This window comes from Homo sapiens, chromosome 7 (assembly GCF_000001405.40).
Source record: "Homo sapiens chromosome 7, GRCh38.p14 Primary Assembly".
NCBI classification, from domain to species: Eukaryota; Metazoa; Chordata; class Mammalia; order Primates; family Hominidae; genus Homo; species Homo sapiens.
Window position 1 is genome coordinate 64,225,239 of NC_000007.14, and position 24,012 is coordinate 64,249,250.

General features: G+C 45.2%; 1 protein-coding gene and 1 long non-coding RNA gene across 5 annotated transcripts in view; one reads left to right on the forward strand and one right to left on the reverse strand.

Annotated features, from left to right (window-relative positions):
* Positions 1-512: 512 nt before the first annotated feature.
* Positions 513-2,383, reverse strand: LOC105375319 (uncharacterized). 3 transcript variants are annotated; one of them, XR_927576.1, is made up of 4 exons: positions 2,275-2,383; positions 1,938-2,013; positions 927-1,068; positions 513-553 (listed from the first exon to the last, which is right to left on the reverse strand). It is a non-coding gene; the product is annotated as an uncharacterized LOC105375319 (long non-coding RNA). The 3 variants fall into 3 exon arrangements; XR_927575.2 differs by lacking the exon at positions 513-553 and having other exon boundaries at positions 879-1,068; XR_002956507.1 differs by lacking the exon at positions 513-553 and having other exon boundaries at positions 879-1,068; positions 1,938-2,106.
* Positions 2,384-3,235: 852 nt separating this feature from the next.
* Positions 3,236-24,012, forward strand: part of ZNF679 (zinc finger protein 679) — a 38,458-nt gene continuing 17,681 nt past the window's right edge. The window contains exons 1-2 of one of the 2 annotated variants that reach the window (NM_153363.3): positions 3,236-3,414; positions 23,790-23,918. In NM_153363.3, the coding sequence (NP_699194.2) occupies positions 23,880-23,918 (39 nt within the window). In that variant the 5' untranslated portion in view covers positions 3,236-3,414; positions 23,790-23,879. Of the gene's footprint in view, positions 3,415-17,104; positions 17,245-23,789; positions 23,919-24,012 lie in introns of those variants that run through there. The other variant, XM_017011797.1, reaches the window with a different exon arrangement.

Here is a 24,012-nt window from a genome sequence, read left to right on the forward strand (position 1 = left end):
CTGCAGGCAGTTAGACCTTATGGTTGTCTTCCCTTGTTCCCTAAAAATCACTGTTATTCTGTTCTTTTTCAAGGTGCACTGATTTCATATTGTTCAAACACACATGTTTTACAATCAATTTGTACAGTTAACACAACTATCACAGTAGTCCTGAGGTGACATACATCCTCATCTTACAAAGATAATAGGATTAAGAGATTAAAGACAGGCATAAGAAATTATAAAAGTATTATTTAGGAACTGATAAATGTCCATATTAAAATGAAATCTTCAAAATTTTTGTTCCTCTACTGCGGCTCCAGCTGGTCCCTCCGTTCAGGGTCCCTGACTTCCCGCAACAGGTCAGGAGTTCAATACTAGCCTGGCCAACATGGTGAAACCCTGTCTCTACTGAAAATACAAAAAAATTAGCTGGGCATGGTGGAGCATGCCTGTAGTCCCAGCTACTCAGGAGGCTGAGGCAAGAGAATGACTTTGACCTTCCAGGTGAAGGTTGCAGTGAGCCAAGATCACACCATTACACTCTAGCCTGGGCGACAGAGTAAGACTCCATCTGGGGAAAAAAAGAAAAAGAAAAGAAGTATGTCAGAATGCCCTTTGTTGACAGATCCCAGACAAGACAGTCACATCACCTAATTGTTGGGGCCAATGATATGTCACAATTATCCATGTGGGCAGGGCCCAGAAAAAAAGGATAGTCAAATCATCTAAGTGCTGAGCTCATTGATATGTCACAAGTGTTGCTGTAGGCAGGCCCCATGTAGAAGAGGAGAATCACATCACTTAGGTGCTGGGTGCAGTGTAATATCACTATCTTTCTGAGAACAGGGCCCAGGCACATGAGTCACACCTCTTTGGTTCTTGGCCCAGGTATCTGTCACAATTTTATTTGTGAACTGGGCCATCTGGAGAGTCAAATTACTCACATGTTGGACAAAGTTATATGTCATAATAACACTGTGGAAAGGTCCAGTGATAAGTTCCACCATCCTGCACATGTCTTGACTCCAGGTAAAAAATTCATCATTGTGCTTGTAATTTGGTCCCAGGTATATGGCACAATACAACCTGTGGGGAGGAAGAGGCCAGAAAAGACACATCACTTGGGTGCTGGTCCAGAAATATGTCACAATCCCCCTTGTAGGCAGAACCCTGGCAGAAGAGTCACATCACTTGGCTGCTGGGCCCAGTGATATATCAAAATCCCCCCTGTAGGCAGAGCTTAGGCAGGAAAGGGGAATCACTTCACCTAAGTAATTAGCCTAGACAGGTTTCACAGTGGCCCCCATGGGCACAGCCAAGGCAGGAGAGTGACATCACCTTGCTGCCAGGCTCAGCAATGGGTCACAATCTCTCCAGTGGGCAGGAACTAGGCAAGAGGAGAATCACATCACCTAGGTGCTGGGCTAAGTGATATGTTCCAATGCTTCCTGTAGGAAGAACTCAGTCAGGAGAGTCACATTACGTGGGTGCAGTACCCAGCTAAATGTCACAGTGCACTCTAAGTGCAGAGCCAAGGCAGTAGAAGTCACATCACCTGTGTAATGAACCCAGAAATAAGTCACAATGCTTTTTGTAGGCAGGGAGCAGGCAGGGGAGTCACAGGACCTGGGTTGATGCTGGTTGCTATGAAATGTAAAAATGCCCTTGGCAGGCAGGGCCCAGGAAGGAGTTTCACATTACTTAGGTGGGTGGTCCATGTATATGTCACAATTTTATCTGTGGGCTGGGCCTAGGAAACAGTCAGATCACTCAGGTTCTGGGCAAAGGTATATTTCCCAATCACACACTTGGGAATGTACAGAAATGAGTTTCACAGTTTCACACGAGTCCTGGCTTCATGTATGAGAGGCAACCCCTCTTGTGAGTGGGGTTCAAGTAAAGGAGATACAGTCTCAACAATGCACAAAATGCATGCACAACAGCCCCAATCTCACCTGCAGATTGTGTTCCAATAGGGAACTCACAGCCTCACAGGTCTGCCGAATCATGGTTCGAGAGTCACCAAACCACCTGGAAACCAGATCCACATATGAGAGTAATAAATCCAACTTGCAACTGTTTTTATGTGTGAGATTAAGTGCCTCATTCGTAGGCTCTGTTTATCTGTAAGAATGAGGAAGAGTCTGTCGGCTGGGTCTGCATACAAGAGTCACAATCTCAGCTGTTAGCTAGGCCTTGTTATCACCTCTATCACTCTAGGGCTTCCTATGATAGTCCTGAGTGTTGTAATGTTCTGTGAACTTTATACAAGTAGGAGACCCAGGACATTACCTATGGCCTAAGCCTGGCTACAAAAGTCAAAATATCTCCCACTGTCTGTGTCCAGGTAAGAGAGTCATCATTGTGGTTGTGAGCTGGGCCCAGGTATATGCCACAATTTCACCTGCCGGCAAGAACAAAACAGGAGAATCACATCACCTGGGTGCTAGATCCAGTGATATGTCACAATGCCCACTGTAGGCAGGGCACAGGCAGGAGAGTCACATCATCTGAGTTCTTGGCTCAGCAGTATGTCACAATCCCTTCTGTAAGTAGGGCCCAGAGAGCAAGAAAAATCACATTACCTAGCTGCTGAGCCTGGCAATGTCACAATGCTCCCTGTTAACAGGGCCCAGGAAAGAGCACAGAGTCATATCACACAGCTGATTGGCCCAGAAATTTGTCAAAATCTTCACTGGTGGCAGGGCACAGGAAGAAAAGCAGAGTCACATTACCTAGGTGATGGACCCAGCCAAATGTCATGAACTTGCCTGTAAGCAGGGTCCAGGCAGGACAGGAGAGTCACATTACCTAGGTTATGGGCCCAGAGAGATTTCACAATTTCTACTGAGACCAGGGTCCTGGAATGAGAGAAAAGTTATACCACTTCTGTGAGGTGTCCAGAGGTATGTCACAGTGACCCCTTTGGCCTTGCCCACACAGGAAATGGAAGTCATATCACCTAGGTAATAAACCCAGAGTCATGTCACAATTTTTCCTGAAGGCAGGGCCAAGGCAGGAGAGTCACATCACCTAGGTTCTTGGCCCAGCAATATGTCACAATCCCTTCTAAATGCACAAGCAGGAAAGAAGAGTCACATAACTTAGGTACTGGGCACAGAAATATGCCACAATCCCCAATGGAGGCCAAGACAAGGCAAGTCAGTAGAGTCACATCACATAGGTGATAAGTCCAAAGATATGTCACAATGTACCCTGTGGTAAGGCCTGGGCTGGAGAGTTATATCACCTAGGTACTTGATCCAGGTATATGTCACATTCCCAACTGTTGGCTGGGCCCAAGCAAATTAGTAAAATAAATTAGGTGCTGTGTGAAAGTATACGCCACAATCACACCTGCGGGAAGGACCAGGAATAAATTTCACAATTCTACGTATTTCCCAGCTTTAGGTCTGAGAGTCTACACTTCTGGTGAGTTGCATCCAAATACACGAGACACAGTCTTAACACTGGACAGGATCCGTGCACGAGAGCTCCATCTCCACCTGCAAACAGAGTCCTCATAAGATAGGCACAGCCTCACCAGGGTGCTGAATCTTGGTCTCAGAGTCACTATCCTACCTGTTGATCAGATGCATGTATGTGAGTCAAACTTTCAACTTTTCATTGCCTCTGGGCATGAGATTCAGAACCTCAACAGTGAGCTGTGTCCATATGGGAGAGTGACCATCCTTATTGTTGGCTAGGTATGCATAGGAGATTCACAATTTCCTCTATGTTTTTGGCTCTGTTATGACACTCTTTGTACCATTTGAGATCTTCACACAACATGCTTGAGAGTGGAATTCTGCTCTGAGAACTTTATGTTTTTATGGATCCAAGATCTTACCCGTTACCCTAAGCCCAGGCAGAAGTTAACACATTTTCTCTTGCCTGGGTCCAGGTATGAGAGTCATCACCATGTTTGTGAGCTGGGCCCAGAAATGAGTCAGAATCTTACCTGTGGTCAGGTATTACAGTATTACAGAGAGTGTCAACACAGCCCAATACAAAGTTGCGTACAGTATAATAGGGCATTATACTGTACGCATGAGTGTTGTGATTTTTTTGTGACCTTTGTACAGTTAGAAAACCCAGAACCATCCCCATTTTCCCAAGCGTAACAGTGAGACAACGTCTCTTCTATTAGCTTGGTCCAAGTATAAGAGACAACACTGTGCCTGTGAGTTAGTCAAGAAATGACTTCCCCTTTGACCTGTGGCCACATCCACATACGACAGTCACGATTCCAACTGTGGTCTGCATCCATATGTGAGATTTATAACCTCACCAGTGGGCTGTGTCTAGGTTTAAGAGTGATAATCCCATTGTTGGCTGGATGTGCCTATGAGAGTCACAATCTCTCCTGCTTGTTGGACTGCATTATGACACAGCTCATAAAACTCATGGACTTTATAAAATATTTATGTCATATTTCCTGTGACCTTTTATAAGGAAATGCAGACCCTTACCTGTGTCCCTAAATCTAGCCAGGGGAGTAAAAAATCTGTTGTATTTGCTGGGTCTATGTATGAGAGTCATCATCATGTCTGCTAACTGGGCCTGGGTATATGTAACAATTTCACTTCAGAGTGTGGATCAGGTAAAACAGTCATATCATCTGAATTCAGGGCCAGGGATATGTCAGCATTCTCCTTGTGTGCAGTGCCATGGCAGGAAAGCCACATCACCTGAGTTCTGGGCTTAGTGATATGTTACAACACATGCTGCGAACATAAGAGGATAGTCACATCGCTTAAATGTTGGGCCCAGAAATGTCACAATTCCCACTGTCGGCATGGCCCAGGCAGGAGGGTAACATCATTTGGGTGCAGGATCCAGCGATATGTTACAATTCTTACTGGAAGCAGGACCCAGGCAGAAGGGAAGAGTAACATCACCTAGGTGATGGGTCTAAAAATATACTATGATTTCCCCTGTGGGCCACACTCAGGCAGAAAAAGATGGTAACATAACCCAGGTGATATACCCAGAGATATGTCCAAATTTCCCCTAAGAAAAGGGCCAAGAGGCCGGGCGCGGTGGCTCACGCCTGTAATCCCAGCACTTTGGGAGGCCGAGGCGGGTGGATCATGAGGTCAGGAGATCGAGACCATCCTGGCTAACAAGGTGAAACCCCGTCTCTACTAAAAATACAAAAAATTAGCCGGGCGCGGTGGCGGGCGCCTGTAGTCCCAGCTACTGGGGAGGCTGAGGCAGGAGAATGGCGTGAACCCGGGAAGCGGAGCTTGCAGTGAGCCGAGATTGCGCCACTGCAGTCCGCAGTCTGGCCTGGGCGACAGAGCGAGACTCCGTCTCAAAAAAAAAAAAAAAAAGAAAAAGAAAAGGGCCAAGAACAGGAGAGTAATATCACCAAGGTGTAGCCCAAATATATGTCACTGTCTCGTGTGTTTTATCCAGGCAAAATAATCAAATATCATGAGCTGGGCCAAGGTATATGTCACAATCACACCTGCAGGAATGTCCAGAGATTAGATTCACAATCTCACATTGGTCCCAACACCAGGTATGGGAGTAAACACTTGAGAGTTGGGTACAAGTTTGCAAGTCAGAATCTCAGTGGTGATCTGGATTCCTGCATGAGAGCCCCAAGACCCCTGCAGACCTTTTCCTGGTAGAATAGTAACAGCCTCACACGTGTGCTGAATATATGAAAGTCATCATCTTTTTCTGTGGAACAGATTCACATATAAGAGTCACAGTTCCAACTTTTGACTGTCTCTGAGCAGAAGATTCAGAAGCTCAGCAGTGACTGGGCTGTGTCCATGTGGCAAAGTGACAATCCTGACTGTTGGCCGTGCCTATGAGAGTCACAGTCCCATCTGTGTGCTGAGCCCTGTTATGACACTCTCTGTGCCACTCAGGAACTTTATAAAATATGCATATGAGTGTTGTAATCTCTGACCTTACTACAAGTAAAAGACCCAGTAGATTGCCTATTACCATAAGACTATTTGGAAGAGTCAAAATCTTTTCTATTGTCTTGGTCCAGGTAAGAGAGTCATCATTATGCCTGTGAGTTGGGCTTAAGTGTATGTCACAATCTCACATATGGGCAGGGACCAGGCAGAAGTTCACATCACCTTAGTGCTAGGCAAGGAATATGCCAATATTTCCCTTGTGAGCAGGGCCCAGGAGGAGAGTTACATCAACTGGGATCTTGGCTCAGTGATATGAACAATTTCTTCTGTAGGCCGAGCCCAGGCAGGAAAAGAGAGTCAACATCATGTAGGTGCTAGGCAAAGCATTATGTCTCAATGTCCCCTTTAATCTTGGCTTAGGCCAGGGAGCAGAGTCATGTCACATAGTTTATGGGCTCATTAATATGTCACAATCTTCAGTGGGGCTTGGCCCAGCTGGGAGTGTAGAGTCACATCTCCTAGGTGATGAACCCAGAGATCTGTCACAATGCCTTCTATAAGTTGAGCCTAGAAAGAAAGGGAGAGTCACATCACTAGGTGATTGGCCCAGAGATATGTAAAAATTTCTCCTGAAGGCGGGGCCCAGGCAGGAGCATCACATCACCTATGTAGCCCAAGTATATGTCACAATTTCAACTATTGGCTGGGCCCAGGCAAAAAAGTAAAAGCAGTCAGGTGCTAGGCAAAGGTAGATGTCACAATCGCACTTGCAGAAAGATCCAGAAATAAAATTTCTAATCTTGCAAATGTCCCAGCTGGAGGTATGGGAGTCAACGTCTCCTGTGAGTTGAGTCTATGCATGCAATTCACAATCTCAACAGTGGACAGGATCCATACATAAGAGCTTCAACTCCACCTGCACACAGTGTCTTAGTAGGGCAGAGACACCCTAGCAGGAATGCTGAAGTTTTGTCCAAGAGCTGAGGCAGGAGAATTGCTTGAACCTGGGAGGTGGAGGTTGCAGTGAGCAGAGATGGTGAGACTGCACTTCATCCTGGGCGACAGAGTGAATCTCCCAGGTTTGAGACTGAGAACCTCAAGAGTGGGCTGTATGCATGTGTTGAGGGTGAAAATCTTAATTGTTGGCTAGGTGTACCTATGGGAGTCACAATTTCACATGTGCACTGGCCTGTTACAACATCTTTGTACCACCCAAGGTCTTTGTAAAATATGCATGAGCATCCTAATAGTCTGTGACCTCTCTACATGTAGAATACTCAGGAGCATACCTGTTGTAATAAGCCTAACTACAATTAAAATCTCTCTTATTGGCTGGGTCCATCTATGACAGTTATCATCATGCCTGTGAGCTGGGCCTAGATATATGTCAATCCCATCAGTGGGCAGGAACCAGGTAGGTGAGTCACGTTACCTTGGTTCTGTGCCAGGGATATGTCACAATACCCACTGTAAGCAGAATGCAGGCAGGCATGTGGGTGCTTGGCCCCGTGATATGGTTTAGTCTTTTCTGTAGACAAGGCCCAGGCAGAAAGGGAAAGTCATATTATTTGGGTGCTGGGCCCAGTGATTTTCACAATCCCCTTTGTAATCAGGGCCCAGGCAGGAGAGAAGAGTCATATCGCCTAGATAATGGGCCTGGTGATATGTCACAATCTTCACTTGGGGCAGGGCTAAAAGGGGAGAGTCACATTACCCATGTGATGGGCTCAGAAATATGTTTCACTGCTGCCTGTAGACAGGTCCTAGGGAACAGAAGTAAGTCACATTCCTAAATGTTTAATCCAGAGGTATGTCACAATACCCCTTAAGGGCAGGGCCCAAGAAATAGAGTCATAGGCTGGGTGTGCTGGTTCACCCCTGTAATCCTGGCACTTTGGGATGCTGAGGCAGGCAGATCGCCTGAGGTCAGGAGTTCAAGACCAGCTGGCCAATATGGTAAAAACCCCGTGTCTACTAAAAATACAAAAATTAGCTGGGAGTGGTGGTATGCACCTGTAATCCCAGGTACTTGGGAGGCTGAGGCAGGAGAATCACTTGAATCCGGGAGGAGGTTGTGGTGAGCCAAGATCGCCCCACTGCCCCACTCCAGCTTGAGTGACAAAGTCAGACTCTGTCTCAAAACAAATAAACAAAAAAAAAAAAAAAGAAAGAAAGAAATAGAGTCATAGACCAGCTTGGGCAACACGGGGAGACCTCGTCGTTAAGAAAAATTTAAAAATTAAGCTGGGCATGGAGGCGTGCTCTTGTAGTCCTAGCTATTGGGAGGCTGAGGTGGGAGGATTGCTTGAGTCTGGGAGGTTGAGGCTGCAGTGAGTCGAGATGGCGCCACTGCACTCCAGCCTGGATGACAGAGTGAGACTCTGTCTCAAGAAAAACAAAACAAAAAACAAAAAACCTTTTTCCTCTCAGTTAGGATCTGGTTTCCATCCTCCTAGTCACCCTTTCAGGTCTTTGCTTCCGTGTAACCTGCTTGGGGCAGTGCTCCTCCCCCAACCTCGGTGTTCCTGTGATACTAGGTACTTCCATTCATTCCATCCATAACAGGGGAAGGTGGAATAAGGAAACCACCTTCACCTTCATTCCCAATTGCAAGACAAATGCTTGGGAGTAGGGTGGTCTTGATTTAAGGATTTAATCTGGTAGATCCTTACAGGCAGTGACAGCAAAGCCTTAGCCAAATCATCAGAAGTGCAAAAGGTCTACTCTGGAGATGGGGAAAATGGAATCCGTGTACATAAGAAAAAGGAGACACAGGGCTGGCTTGTGAGAAACAAGAACGAAGTAAGCCACTGAGAGACGGGACACTGGAAAAGAGAGAAGAAAGAGAGTCAAGAAGGATGAAGGAGCTCTGAGAAGTGAGATGCTCGGTGCTACTGGGAAGAGGATAGAGGGGTGGCTCAAACCCTCATTAGAATCAACTGCTGCTCCCACCAACACCACAGCGACTGGGTGTTTGTTTCAAGAATAGAACAGGGCTGTTCCAGATCCGGGCTGCCGTGAGACCTAACAGGGACCCTTCATGGGGACAGCAAGAAGGTTCACTGACTGACCCAATTCAGAGGAAGGAGGAACCTGACCTTCAAAATCACTATGACCATCAGAATGCCTTAGAAGATCAAAGAAATACTGGAGTGGGTGTGAGACTTTTAACAAATGTGTGCACTCAAACAGTGCAAAGGCAAACCTCCTGGTGGGTAATCAGAATTCAGACCCCACCTCTAGAGAGCTTTCTCTGGCCAGCAGCAGAGGAGGAAGTCAGAGATTCAAAGTAGGCTGGAGATGCGATGCACTTTTGCTGACTTTGAAGATGGAGGGAGCAAATTGAGTAAAATGTGGGGGGACATCTACTTACAGAGAGCGGGTCCTAGCTAGCAGCGAGCAAGGGAACAAGGATCCCAGTCCTACAACCATGAGGAATTGGAAATTGGCAACAACCAGAATGGGTTTAGAAATGGGTTCTTCCCAGCACCTCTAGATGAGAGCCCAGCCTGGTTGATATACTGACTTCAGCGTTGTGAAAACCAAAGCATAGAGCCCAACGGAGTCTTCTGGACCCTGAACCATAAGTTCTACAGGACTACGAGCTAGCAAATGGGTGTGTTCTAAGCCACTACATTTGTGGGGACTTGTTATGGAGCAATAGAAGACTAATATACCTCTCATGTCCTGCCCAGTGGTGACCTCAGCAGCACTTTCTAGGTCTAGGGGACTCATATAATATACTTTTTTTTCAAGACAGAGTCTCGCTCTGTCACCCAGGCTGGGGTGCTATGGCACAATCTCAGCTCACTGAAACCTCTACCTCCAGGGTTCAAGCGATTCTTGCGCCTCAGCCTCTCGAGTAGCTGGGACTACAGGCATGTGCCACCATGCCTGGCTAATTTTTGTATTTTTTCTAGAGACAGGGTTTCGCCATGTTGGCCAGGCTGGTCTTAAACTCCTGACCTCAGGTGATACACCTGCTTCAGCCTCCCGAAGTGCTGGGATTACAGGTGTAAGCCACTGAGCCCGGCCATATCAACTTTTTAAATTATAATTTAATAAAATGAGAAATCAATAGCCAAAGAAAAATTTAAAAACTCACAAATATGTGGATAGTAAACAACATGTTCCTGAACAACCCATGGGCCAAAGAGAAAAACCAAAGGGAAATCAGAAAGTATATTGACAAAAAAAGAAAATAGAAACAACATACAATAACTTCTGAGATACAAAAAAAAAAAGACAAACCCACAAAACAGTTCTAAAACATAAATTTATAGTGCTATATTGCTATATTAAGAAAAAGGAAAAGATGTCAAATAAAAAACATAACTTTAATCCACAAAATACTTGAAAAAGAACAACTAAATAATCCCAGCATTAGCATAACAAAAAAAAATAGGCCAGGCTAGGTGGCTCATGCCTGTAATCCCAGCACTTTGAAAGGCCGATGTGGGTGGATCACCTAAGGTCAGGAGATCAAGACCAGGTTGCCCAAAATGGTGAAACCCTGTCTTTACTAAAACTACAAAAATTAGCCAGGCACGGTGGCACAAGCCTGTAATTCCAGCTACTCAGGAGACTGAGGCAGAAGCATCGCTGGAACCCAAGAGGCAGAGGTTGCCATGAGCCGAGATCATGCCACTGCACTCCAGCCTGGGCGACAAGAGCGAAACCCCGTCAAGAAAGAAAGAAAGAAAGAAAGAAAGAGACAGAGAGAGAGAGAAAGGAAGGAAGGAAAGAAGAAAAAGGAATAAAAATTAGAGCAGAGATAGATTTCATAGATACTTAAAAGACACAAAAAAGATAAGAAGCAGAGAAAGAATTTACATATAAAATGTATCTAAATAAAAAAAATTTCTTTTTTTAAAAAAGAAGAGGCCGGGCGTGGTGCCTCACGCCTGTAATCCCAACACTGTGGGAGGCCAAGGTGGGTGGATCATGAGGTCAGGAGTTCAAGACCAGCCTGACCAACATGGTGAAACCCTGTCTCTACTAAAAATACAAAAATTAGCCTGGTGTGGTGGCTCACACCTGTAATCCCAGCTACTCAGGAGGCTGAGGCAGGAGAATTGCTTGAACTCAGTAGGCAGAAGTTGCAGTGAGCTGAGATTGAGCCATCGCACTCCAGCCTGGGCAACAGGATGAGACTCTGTCAAAAAAAAGGAGTAAATTCTTTTTTTTATTTTTAAGTTGAATGATTGTCTTATTTTTATTTTGTATTTACGCTTACAATAAGCAGGCCCAAAAAATTTATCCTGAATTCATCGTCATTTGATTTCCAGTAGGGTTTGTATTTAGGCACCAGAGGTGTGGTTTTGAGTTTGTAAAAGAGCGTTTGTGGGGGGAAAAAAAAAAGGGCAGAATAAGAGAACCTGATATAAAAAGTCTATGGGGGCAGGGCTCAGTGCCTCACTCCTGTAATCCCAGCACTTTGTGGAGGCTGAGGTGGGTGGATCACCTAAGGTCAGGAGTTTGAGACCAGCCTGGCCAAAATGGCGAAACCTCATCTCTTAAAAATACAAAAATTAGCCAGGTGTAGTGCACGCACTTGTACTTCCAGCTGCTTGGGAGGCTGAAGCAGAAGCATCACTGAAACTCAGGAGGCAGAGGTTGCCGTGAGCCAAGATCCTGTCATTGCACTCCAGCCTGGGCGACAAGAGTGAAACTCGAAAGGAAAGGAAAGGAGAAGGAAAGAAAAAGAAAGAAAGAAAGAGAAAGAAGGAAAAAAGGAGAGAAAGAAACAAAAGAAAGAAAAAAAGAAAGAAGAAAGAGAAAGAAAGAAAAAAAGAAAAAGAAAAAAAGAAAGAAAGAAAGAAGAAAGAAAGAAAGAAAGAAAGAAAGAAAGAAAGAAAGAAAGAAAGAAAGAAAAAGAAAGAAAGAAAGAAAGAAAGAAAAAGAAAGAAAGAAAGAAAGAAACCTATGGGTAGGGAACAGTACACAGTTGGTGAAAAGACTGGTTAGGGCTACAGAGACTGGTCCAGGCAAGATAGCTCTGACTTATAAATGTGTGCATGCAGGCAGATGGGAGGGATGGATGACCCAGAATCCTAGGCTAGTGGAGAAAACGGGTCACTGGTGCAGATTCAAGATCTGGGCATAAAAAGAAACCATGAGTCCTCTGGGCACTTACGTAGCCTATAGGTGGAAAACTCTAGCAACAGAAGTAATTTCAGCACAATTTCTGAAGGTGAAGCCTTGTCATGGGAGGACTGTAGCTACATCACTGCCCAGGGTGCATGGGTGTGAGTGTGCAGGAATCACTTTCTAGCAGCCAGGTGGGGAGAGGAGTCCGCCCTCAGAACTGCTTTCCTTTGAGTTCTCAGTTCCCCCTGAACCCGGATGAGACATGGAATCACAGGACAATTCACAGCGCAACAGCTTGTGTGCTGAAGAATAGAGTCTCCATTCCCCAAAAGACTCACAGTCTCCCTCCAGCCAAGGCTGCAGTGATGTCTTTCTTTTTAGACCAAACACACGGCATTTGCTGACACCAGCCAACTATTCAACACCAACTGGGTGTTCAACAACTCAATTCTGACAGAATCAAGAGTCATCATGGACCCAACCACATCAGGACTCAGTTCCTCAATACAGTCCCCAGTGCACACACCAGTGACGGGCACCATGGGCCCATCTATGCCTATAAGCAGCTATCTATAAATTATGGGCTTTTTATAACTTCTCCCTGAAGTTTAATAATTTGATAAACCTACTCATAAATTTGATAGAACTTTACCAGGTTATTATAAATAATATAATTCAGAAAATGCCAATTGGAAAAAAATGTATAGGGCACAGAAAAGTGGGAGAGAAAGATGGGGTGGATGGTGAGTCCTGGTAAATAGTTACAATTAAGAAAACTCTCTAATGCTTTGTGTTCTGTAAGAACAACTTACTGCAAAGAAAGATCCTTACCATTGTGACTGATGGTCAGGATCATTACCATTGTTCTTCACACACAATTAAATAGTTTTATCTTCAGGGTTCACAAGAAAATACCTGTTAAGCAAACTTTGCTTAAGTTTTTATCTTTCCCCCAGACCCTTGGACTCTGCTCCACCTCCAGTCTGAGCAAACATACAACTCCTCTTCATGTCCCTCCCAAGAACAGGCTGACTTCAGGGTGCAACATTCTCTATTGCATTGATTTTTCCACCCTCCATTCTGCCCTCCTCTCCCACCTTCTTTCTAATCTTTCTTGCTCCTCCATATGAATGACAGCCCTTTTCAGCCTAACTTTGAGACGTATGTAGCTATTATGTTTGGTGCTTCCCCCATTGCAACACTATTAATTTTATTTGAAACAGAGTCTCACTCACTCCAGGCTGGAGTGCAGTGGTGCGATCTCAGCTCACTGCACCCTGTGCCTCCAGGGTTCAAGCGATTCTCCTGCCTTCGCCTCCCGAGTAGCTGGGATTACAGGTACCCACCACCACGCCTAGCTAATCTTTGTATTGTTAGTAGAGACAGGGTTTCACCATGTTGACCAGACTGGTCCTGAACACCTGACCTCAAGTGATCCATCTGCCTTGGCCTCCCAAAGTGCTGGGATTACAGGCATGAGCCACTGTGCCCAGCCACAACACTACTTTAGAATGAAGTTATTTCATACCTACATATAAATTTATTTTATTTGACAATATCTGAAAACAGCCCCAAAACAATAACAATTACATCCTACAGAGGACATCAAAACCCTCCTCCCATCTTGACTCTCACTGCACCTGCCCATAGATCCCCACAGTTGACATGGTGACATATACTTTGACCCAGCTTACAGGCATTACACGTAGGCCCAGTCAAAGAGAGAGATTTAGACTCTCATAGATAGGCCTAGGGCAAGGGGTAAGGTCCTGGGTCTTCTACTTGTATGAAGATCACAGAGGATTATGTCACCCATGCATATCCAATAAACCCCGTGGGTGGTACAGAGAGTCTCATAACAGGGCCCAGAACACAGGTGAGATTGAGAGTCTTGTAGGAACACACAGCCAAAAGTAGTAATTGTCACATGCCCATGTGTACACAGCTCATGATTGAGGTTCTGAATCTCAAACCCAGGGGCAGTTAAGAGTTGTAATTGTGACTCTCATATACGGATCCAGTCCACAGGTGAAGTGGGGACTCTCCAACCAGGATTCAGCACACCATTGAGGTTGTGACACCCCTACTGGGACACAGCTTGGAGAAGGGATTGGGGCTCTCATGAGAGGATGCAATCCACTATTGAGATTGTGACTCATGTACTTGGACCTAAGTCTCAGGAGTTGTTGACTCTTACACCTGGAGTGGGGAAATGTGGGTAATTGGGAGTCCCATTCCTGGGCCTTCCTGCAGATGTAACTGTGACATGCACTTCTACCTAGAACCTTAGTAATTTGCTAGTCCTTCTGGTCTCAACACACAGATATCTTGTGACTTGTACCTGGGCCAAGCACCTAGATGATGTGACTATTTTGTCTGGCCACTTCCTTCAAAGGAATTGTAATATATCTCTTTATTGAGCACCTAGGTGATGTAAATCTTCTTTCCTGCCTGGACCCTGCCCACAGGTAAGGTTATGACATATCACCAAGCCTAGCACTTAATGACATGACTGTCCTATCTTATTTGTGCCCTGCCCTGAAGAAGCATTGTGACATTACTGGCCTAAGTAAAAAGGTAATTCAGGTCTTCTGCCTAGGACGTGTGCACAGGGGGGATTGTGAAATATTTCTTGGCTTGTCAACATGATGATGTGATTCTCCTCTCTTGCCTGGAACTGTTTTACAGTTCTCATCACAACATATTGCTGGGCCCAGTACTGGGTGAAGTTATTCTTCCCCCAGGGCCCAGCCCACAAGTGGCACTGTGGCATCTCTCTAGGCCCATCGCCTAGGTGATGTGACTCTGTTCTTCTAACTGGACACTTTCCACAAAAGGAATTGTGACATATAGCTGGAACCAGCTCCCTGGTCATGGAACTGTACTGTGTTGGCCCTGTGCAAAGGGGGCATTGTGATATATATTGCTTGGCCAAGCAGCTAGGTGATATGACTCTCCTGAATGGGCCCTGCTCTCAGAGAGGATTTTCACCCATCACTTGGCCAATCATAAAAGTGATGTGTCTCTCCTCTGTTGTCTGGACTCTTCTCAAAGTAAGAATTATGGTATATCACTTACCCAGCACCCAGGTGATATGACTCTTATGTCTGGTTCCTGCCCACAGGTGTATTGTGACACATACATGGTCACAGCTCAAAGGTGAGATGATGACTCTCATACTTGGATCCAGCTAAGAGAACAGATTTTAACTCTGATATCTAGGCTTAGGGCAACAGGCAAGGTCCTGGGTCTCCTACTTAAATAAAGGACATAGTGTATTATGATACTGAGGCATATTGTATGAAGCCCGCATGTGATACAGTGTCATAACAGGACCCAGAACAAAGGTGACATTGTGACTGTCATATGCACATCCAGCTGATAGAATTGTCACCCTCACACATAGTCAGTGGTCACTGGCGAGGTCCTAAATCTCACACATAAATGCAATCCAGACTTGGAATTGTGATTGTCATATGTAGATGCAGCCACAGGTGAGACAGTGACTCATTTTTGAACCCAGCTCACAGGAACAGTAATGGAACTAATACCTGGACCCAGTCAATAGCAGAAATTCACAATCCGGGACATTTTCCTGCTAAAGGTATAAGAGTCAACACCTCTTGTGGATTGAGTTCAACTATGCAAGTCAATCACAACAGTGGACTAAATCAATGCACGAGAGCCCAAATCTCACCAACAGACTGTGTTTTGATAGAGGAAGCACAGCCCCCAGGTGTTCTAAATCCAGGACTTGGTGTTATCATCTCATCTGTCGATTGGATTAATGTATGAGATTCACAATTCCAACTCTACTGGCTCTTGGTGTGTGATTCAGAACCTTAACAGTGGGTTCTGTTAATGTGGAAGGGTGACAGTCCTTACTTTTGTCTGAGTTTGCATACAACAGCCACAATTTTCCCTGTGTGCTGGGCTCTATTATGGCACTCTGTAGCACTTGAGGGCTTCATACAACGTGCATGCAAGTCATAATAGTCTGTGACCATCCTGCAAGTTAAAGACCCAGAACCTTAGTTTTTGCCCTAAGACTAACTACAAGAGTCAAAATATCTTCAGGTATGAGTCATCATTCCACCTGTAAGCTGTGCCCATGTGTATTTCCCAATCCCAATTGTGGAGACAGACCACGCACAAGGGTTGCATCACCTGGGTGCTGGCCAGAGATATGTCACAATTGCCACTTTGGGCAGAGTCAAAATCTCCCCTTAGTGCAGGGGCAATTCAGGAGGGTCATATCACCTAGGTGGTGGGCCCAGCGATATGTCACAATGTCCCCTATGGGCAGGGCCAAGGCAGTACAGTTACATCACCTAGAAGCTGGGGCCAGTGATATGTCACAATGCCTCTTGCGGGCAGGGTTCAGGCAGGAAAGAAGAATCACATCACCTAGGTGATGGGTCTAGAGATATTTCACAATGCCTTCTGTAATAAGAACCCAGGATAAAGAGTTATATCATTTGGGTTAAAGGTCCAGTGATAGGTCACAATCCCAACTAAGGATAGGACCCAGGCCGAAAAAGAGACTCACTTCACTTTGATGATTGGCCCAGAGATATTTTGTAATTTCTCCTGAGGACAGGGCTCATGCAGGAGAGAAACATAAATTTTGTGCATGGCCCAGGTATATGTTACAATCTTAACTGTACACTGGGCCAAGACAATACAGTAAAATTAATCAGATGCTGGGAAATGTAATTGTCACAATCACACCTGCAGAAAGGTTTAAGGATAAGATTTAAAACCCCACAAATGTGCTGGCTTCACTTATGACAGTCAACATATCTTGGGATATGTGTTTAAGTACTTGAATCACAACCTCAACAGTGCACTGGCTCTGTGCATAACAGCCCGAACCCCACTTATAAACAGTGTCCCAGTAGGGGAGTCACAGCCTCACAGGGGTGCTGAATCTTGGTGTGAGAGTCACCAACCTACCTGTGGACTGCATTCACATCTGAAAGTCACAATTCCGATTTTTGACTGCCTCTGAGTGTGAGATTCAGGACATTTTACGAAGGCTGTGTTCATGTGAGAGGGTGACAATTCTTACTATTAGCCATGTGTGCATATGAGAGAATCTCACCTGTTTGCTGGTCCCTGTTATGACACTGTACCACTTGCAGGTTTTATATGGCACATGTGAGACTCACCATCTGCTTCGAGACCTTTGTGCTTGCCCAGGCTTTTGTTACAATCCCAAATGTAGGATCACACCCATTGCCCTAAGCCCAGGTGTGAGAGTCAACATCTCTCCAATCTTTAGGTCCAGGTAAGGGAGTCATTTTTGTTCCTATAATCTGGTTACAAAAATTGGTCAATATCCCTCCTGTGGCTCAATCCACATGTGACAGGCATGATCCAACTGTGGACTGTATCTGTCAGTGAGATTCAGGAACTATTTTGCTCTCTCCCTATATAAAGGTGACAATTTTAACAGTCAGCTGAGTGTGCATCCAATAGTCACAACCTCAGTGTTGTGCTGGGCCCTACTATAACACTCTCTGTCCCATCTGAGGGCTTTAGACAATATGCATGTGTGTGGTAATCACCTGTGATTTTTTTTTTTTTAAGTAGAAAAGCCAGAATTTTATTTTTTGGCCTAAACCCAGCTATGAGAGTCAACACCTCTTCTATTAGCAAGGTCCGGGTATAAGAGCCATTGCTGGGCCTGTAAGCTGGACCCAGCTATGACTCACCACCTGACCTTTGTCCAGATCCACATGGGATGGCCAATATTCTAACTGTGTATTGTGTTGTCATATGAGAGTCAGGACCTCACCAGTAAGTTTTGTCAATGTGTGAGGGAGACAGTTTTAATTGTCTGCTGGGTGTGCCTGTAAGAGTCACAATTTTACTTCTGTGCTGGACCCTGATATGACACTCTTTATATCACCCAAAGACTTTATAGAATATGCATGAGTGTGATATATTGTGTGATCTTTGCACATGTAGAAGGCCCAGATCATTACCTGTTTGTCTAAGCCTACCTAGAAGAGTTAAAATCTCTTCCATTGGCTGGGTTTGCATACGCGAGTCTTCATTATACCTGTCAGCTGGGCCTAATGTGTAACCATCCCACCTGTGGGCAGAGACTAGGAGGGAGAGTCCCATCAACTAGGTGCTGGGCCAGCGATATGTCAATATTTTTACTATAGGTAGGGTCCTGACAATAAAATTCACATCTGGGTGCTAGGAAAAGCAATATGTCACAATCCACCCTGTAAACATGTTCCAGGTAGACGACAGTCACATCATCTAGGTGATGGGCCCAGTGATATGTAACCATTTCTCCTGTAAATAGATTCAAGGCAAAAAAGAATCACATAACAAAGGTGATGGGCCTAAAGATATCTCACAGTAACCCCTGTGGACTGGCCCAGGCAGAAAGGGAGAGTCATATCGCCTAGGTGATTGGCTCAGAAATATGTCCCAATACCCCAGGAGGGCAAAGCCCAGGCAGGAGTCACATTATCTAGGCGCTCAATCTAAGTATATTTCACAATCTAAACTGTAGGTGAGGCCTAGGCAAAAGAGAAAAATCAGTCAGATACTGAGTGAAGGTATACGTCACAATCACGTCTGTGAAAAGGTCCAGAGATAAAATTTACAATCTCTTACATGCCCAACTTCAGGATCAGAGTCAATATCTCCTGTGAGTTGCACCCAAAATGCATATTGTGGCACCTCCTCTGTTTTTTCCAAGGAGTTCCAGGCTGTTAGAGCTTGAATATCTGCAATTAATTAAGTTGACTTTTGGGCCAGACACGGTGGCTCAAGTCTGTAATCCCAGCACTTTGGCAGTCTGAGGCGGGCAGATCATGAGGTCAGGAGTTCCAAGACAGCCTGACCAATATGGTGAAACTTGGTCTCTAATAAAAATGCAAAAATTAGCCAGGTGTGGTGATGGGCATGTGCAATGTCAGCTACTTGGGAGGCTGAGGCAGGAAAATTGCTTGATCCCGGTAGGTGGAGGTTGCAGTGAGCCAAGATTGTGCCACTGCACTCCAGCCTGAGTGACAGAGCGAGACTCCATCTCACAAAATAATAATGGTAATAATAATTAAGCTGACTTTTAACTGTGATGCTCTTTTTAAAAAAATTATTTAATTCTCTAATTACTTGACTTTAGCCATGCCAAACTGCCAATATTTCTGACTTTTGAACTTTACTAACATAACCTCCCAGGTGAAATCAATAAGTTATATTTTTGTTTGTTTTGTGACGGATTCTCTCTCTGTCGCCCAGGCTGGAGTGCAGTGGCCAAATGCGGCTCACCGCAACCTCAGCCTCCTGAAACCCATAAGCTTTAACTACGGTTATGAACCTAACCACAAGTGTACAAAGTATTTTCAAAAAGATGGCAAGCAGTTTTTACAAAATCTAGAATCTTCAAAGTAGCTCAGAGAAAGGACAATTCAGGATGGTTCATGGAGGGAAAGCGAATCCACAAATATTCACACAGATATCAAATCACAAATGACTCATTTCCTAAGCCAGAAATTGAACCCTGAACTCGGGCTGCCACTGTGAGACAGCAAAGCCCAGCTACTGAGCTACAGCACTGAGCAGTCTCCATTGGGGTCTCCCAGAAGAAGCCTCCAGCAGCCAATTTTGAGCTTGCAAAGGTTGTTTACTGCTCAAGATCACTTTTATGGATAACTATAACACAAATTTCAAAATTTCTATATGCTGGATGGTAGAAACCAAGAGAAAATACTGCCACATGGCTACAAGGTCAAGCTCTCAAGAACATAAAACAAGAGGGAAACTTCATCCATTTTGTTGTTGTTTGTTTCAGGGACTTCTTCTTTCTTTGTTTTTTAGCTTTTTGAGATGGAGTCTTGCTCTGTCTCCCAGGCTGGAGTGCAGTGGTGCCATCTCGGCTTACTGCAACCTCTGCTTCCCAAGTTCAAGCAGTTCTCCCTGCCCCAGCCTCCTGAGTAGCTGGGACTACAGGCACCCACCACCACCCTGGCTAATTTTTGTATTTTTAGTAGAGACAAGGTTTTGCCATGTTGGCCAGGCTGGTCTTGAACCCCCCCACTCAGGTGATCCACCTGCCTCGGCCTCCCAAGGTTCTAGGATTACAAGCATGAGTCACCATGCCCGGCCTGTTTCAGGGACTTCTGACCAGAAGTTTCAACATGTGATCTTTGGGGAAGATGGTGGCCCAGAGTAACAGAAAAGATAGGAAAGGGAGAGAGAGAAAGAGAGAGAGAGAGAGAGAGAGGGAGAGAGAGAGAGAGAGGGAGAGAGAGAGAAAGCATTGCTTATGGTAAGGCAGGAAAGTTGAGGAGATCAGGAAAACTAGAGAAAGACCCACGCATTGAATCAAAAGTTTAGGTGATCTCTTGTTGGTTGTGAAAGAATCTTTTTTGGCAGTCCCATCTGCTCTCAAGTTTCCCACTTTAGGGAGGAAAAAGCTCCCCTTGTTCCATGATCCTGTACTCATCTAATTCTGTCAGCCACAGTCATCAGCAAAAAATGCAAGGCAGATTAATCCAAAGACAGGGCCAGGCATGGTGGCTCATGCCTGTAATTCCAGTACCTCGGGAGGCCGAGGTGGTGGATCAGCTGAGGTCAGGAGTTTGAGGCCAGCCTGGCCAACATGGTGAAACCTTGTCTCTACTAAGAGTACAAAAATTATCTGGGTGTGGTGGTGGGTGCCTGTAATCCCAGGTACTCAGGAGGCTGAGGCAGGAGAATCGCTTGAACCTGGGAGGCAGAGGTTGCAGTGAGCCAAGATCTCACGATTACACTCCAGCCTGGGCAACAAGAGCGAGACTCCGTCTCAAAACAAACAAACAAACACAAAGACAATAGTGGTTAAAGTTCCATAATGCCAAATCTAATCTTAGCTGAGAGGGACTTTACGGAGAGGGGCCTCTCACCCCCTAAATCTTAGGAAAGACTAACTTTTCTAAGTTGCACCTCAAACACGAGTTTCGTCAAGTGTTCTTGCCTTTTATTAAAAGGGACCTTTTATCTTATCTGTCTTAGGAGACACTCTAACTCCCCTAAATTGGGGTATTAACCCAATCCCATTCTTTACCCAGGTGTGCCATCACTTACAAAAAGTTAGCCAATTGGCGATTCAGTCTATTTCCTTTGGGTTGGGCGTTTCCTTAGCATCATCCTTTTGTGATTCACTGAAAAGAAGATTCCAGAAATGGTCCCAATCCAGAACCGAAGAGTGGGTTCTTGGATCTCGTACAAGAAAGAATGCAGAGCTGGGGGTGGTGGCTCATGGCTGTAACCCCAGCACTTTGGAGGCAAAGGCGGGCAGATCACTTGAGGTCAGGAGTTTGAGATCAATCTGGCCAACATGGTGAAACCCCATCTCTACTAAAAATACAAAAATTAGCTGGGCATGGTGGTGTGCACCTGTAATCCCGGCTCCTCCAGAAGCTGAGGCAGGAGAATCTCTTGAACCCGGGAGGCAGAGGTTGCAGTGAGCCGAGATGGTGCCACTGCACTCCAGCCTGGGTGACTGAGCAGGACTCTGTCAAAAGAAAGAAAGAAAAGAAAGAAAAAGAAAGAGAAAGAAAGGAAGGAAGGAGGGAAGGAAGGAAGGAAGGGAGGGATTTTGGGCGAGTCTGCAGTGCAAAGCAAAAGCAAATTTATTAGGAAAGTAAAGGAATAAAAGAATAGCTACTCCTTAGACACAGCAGCAGTGTGGGCTGCTCAACTAAAAATACTTACAGTTATTTCTTGATTATATGCTAAACAAGGGGTGGATTGTTCATGAGTTTTGCAAGAAAGGGATGGGCAATTCCCAGAACTGTGTTTATCTTCTTTTTAGACCATGTAAGGTCACTTTCTGATGTTGCCATGGCATTCGTTAACTGTCATGGCACTGGTGGGAATGTCTTTCGCATGCTAATGCATTATAATTAGCGTGTAATGATTCCTGAGGACAATCAGAGGTCACTTTCATTCCCACCTTGGTTTTGGTGGATTTTTCTGGCTTCTCTACTGCAAACTGTTTTATCAGCAAGGTCTTTGTGAACTGCATCTTGTGCCAATCTCCTATTTATCCTCTGACTTAGAATGCCCGACCTCATGGAAATGCAGTCCTGTAGGTCTCAGCCCCATTTCACCCAGCACCTATTCCAGATGCAGTTGCTCTGGTTCAAACGCCTCTGACATGGCCACAGAGTGCTGGAATGTGGCTGGTCTGAACTGCAATATGCTAGAAAGGTAAAATACAAGGTTACATTAAAATATTTAGCTTTAAAAATGTATATGCTTTATTAACCCTTACATACTAATCACATATTAAAATAATATTTTGGATATATTGGACTGATTAAATTGTTACAATCAATTTCACTTGTTATTCCACCTGTTTCTTTCTTATTTTGAGACAGTCGCTCTGTCACCAGGCTATATTGCGGTGGCACGATCTCGGCTCACTGCAACCTCTGCCTCCTGGGTTCAGGCGATTCTCCTGCCTCAGCCTCCCAAATAGCTGATTACAAGTGTCTGTCACCATGCTTGGCTAATTTTTGTATTTTTAGTAGAGATGAGGTTTTGCCATGTTAGCTAGGCTGATCTCAAACTCCTGACTTCAGGTGGTCGACCACCTCGGCCACTGAAAGTGCAGGGATTACAACCGTGAGCCTCTGCGCCTGGCCCTACCATGTTTTTTTTTTTACTTTTTAATATTTGGCTACTAGCACATTCAAAATTTACATGTGGCTCATATTTTACTGCAGAGGATTGCCTCCTTTTTGAAATCTCAGGCTGCCTGCATGTATTAGTCCATTTTCACACTGCTATAAACAAATACCTCAGACTGCGTACTTTTTTTTTAAGTGGTTTAATTGAATCATAATTCTACATGGCTGAGGAATCCTCAGGAAACCTACAATCATGACCATGACAGAAGGTGAAGGGAAAGCAAGGCAATATCTTACTTGGTGGAAAAAGAGAACCGGGGATGGGGAACATGCCACATTTTAAAATATCTTGAGAGCTCCCTTACTATCACAAGAACAGCATGAGGATAATCCCCCCTAATAATCCAATCACCTCCCACCTGGTCTCTGCCCGGACATGTGGCAAATACAATTTTTTTTTTTTTTGAGACCGAGTCTGGCTCTTTCGCCCAGGCTGCAGTGCAGTGGCACGATCTCGGCTCACTGCAAACTCCCCCTCCCGGGTTCAAGCGATTTTTCTGCCTCAGCCTCCTGAGTAGCTGGGACTACAGACGCCCGCCAACACCCTGGCTAAGTTTTGTATTTTTAGTACAGACAGGGTTTCACCGTATTGGCCAGGCTGGTCTCCAACTCCTGACCTCATTATCCACCCGCCTCACCCTCCCAAAGTGCTGGGATTACAGGCCTGAGCCCCCACGCCTGGCCATGAATTACAATTTGAGATGAGATTTGGGTGGAGCCACAGAGCCAAACCATATCACTGCAAAGGACCCGCAGCAAGGAAGGTCATAAAATCTGAAATTTTAAAATAATTGTCATTATGTTTTTTCAGTTTATGAATAACTATATTATATACCATTTATAAATGCATATGACGTTATACACAAGGTTAAATGCAAATGTCCTCTAAGGTTGGCCTGGCTCAGATCAGGGAAGAAGGCTTAGCTGTAAAGGCTGCAGCCTAGCCTGTTATTTTTGCTTTGTTTAGCCCAGTGTCTGATCACATTTTTCGTCACTCAGGGCGTGAAGGGTGGGTCCTGAAACCTTATCCAATCAGGGGCCATATATTAGAAACTGTACAATCAGGCATGCAGCTGGAGAGAACAGGATGCCTCCGTAATTTTCCGGGTCCTTTGTGTTTCTCTGCGTCCAGAGCTCCAGTTCTTCTCTTCACTGCTCTGCGTCCTCTGTTCCTAGAGGCCAAGCCACTGTGGCCTTGTGTTCTGCAGGTATCCGCAGATTTATGGCTAAAAGACCGGGATCCCCTGGAAGCCGAGAAATGGTGAGTGCTGGGTCTGTCACCGTGAGAGAGGGGTGAGGGCTGGTTGGAACCGGCTGAAAGTGGCTGTAGCAGGACCCAAACTTCCTCGCAGTCA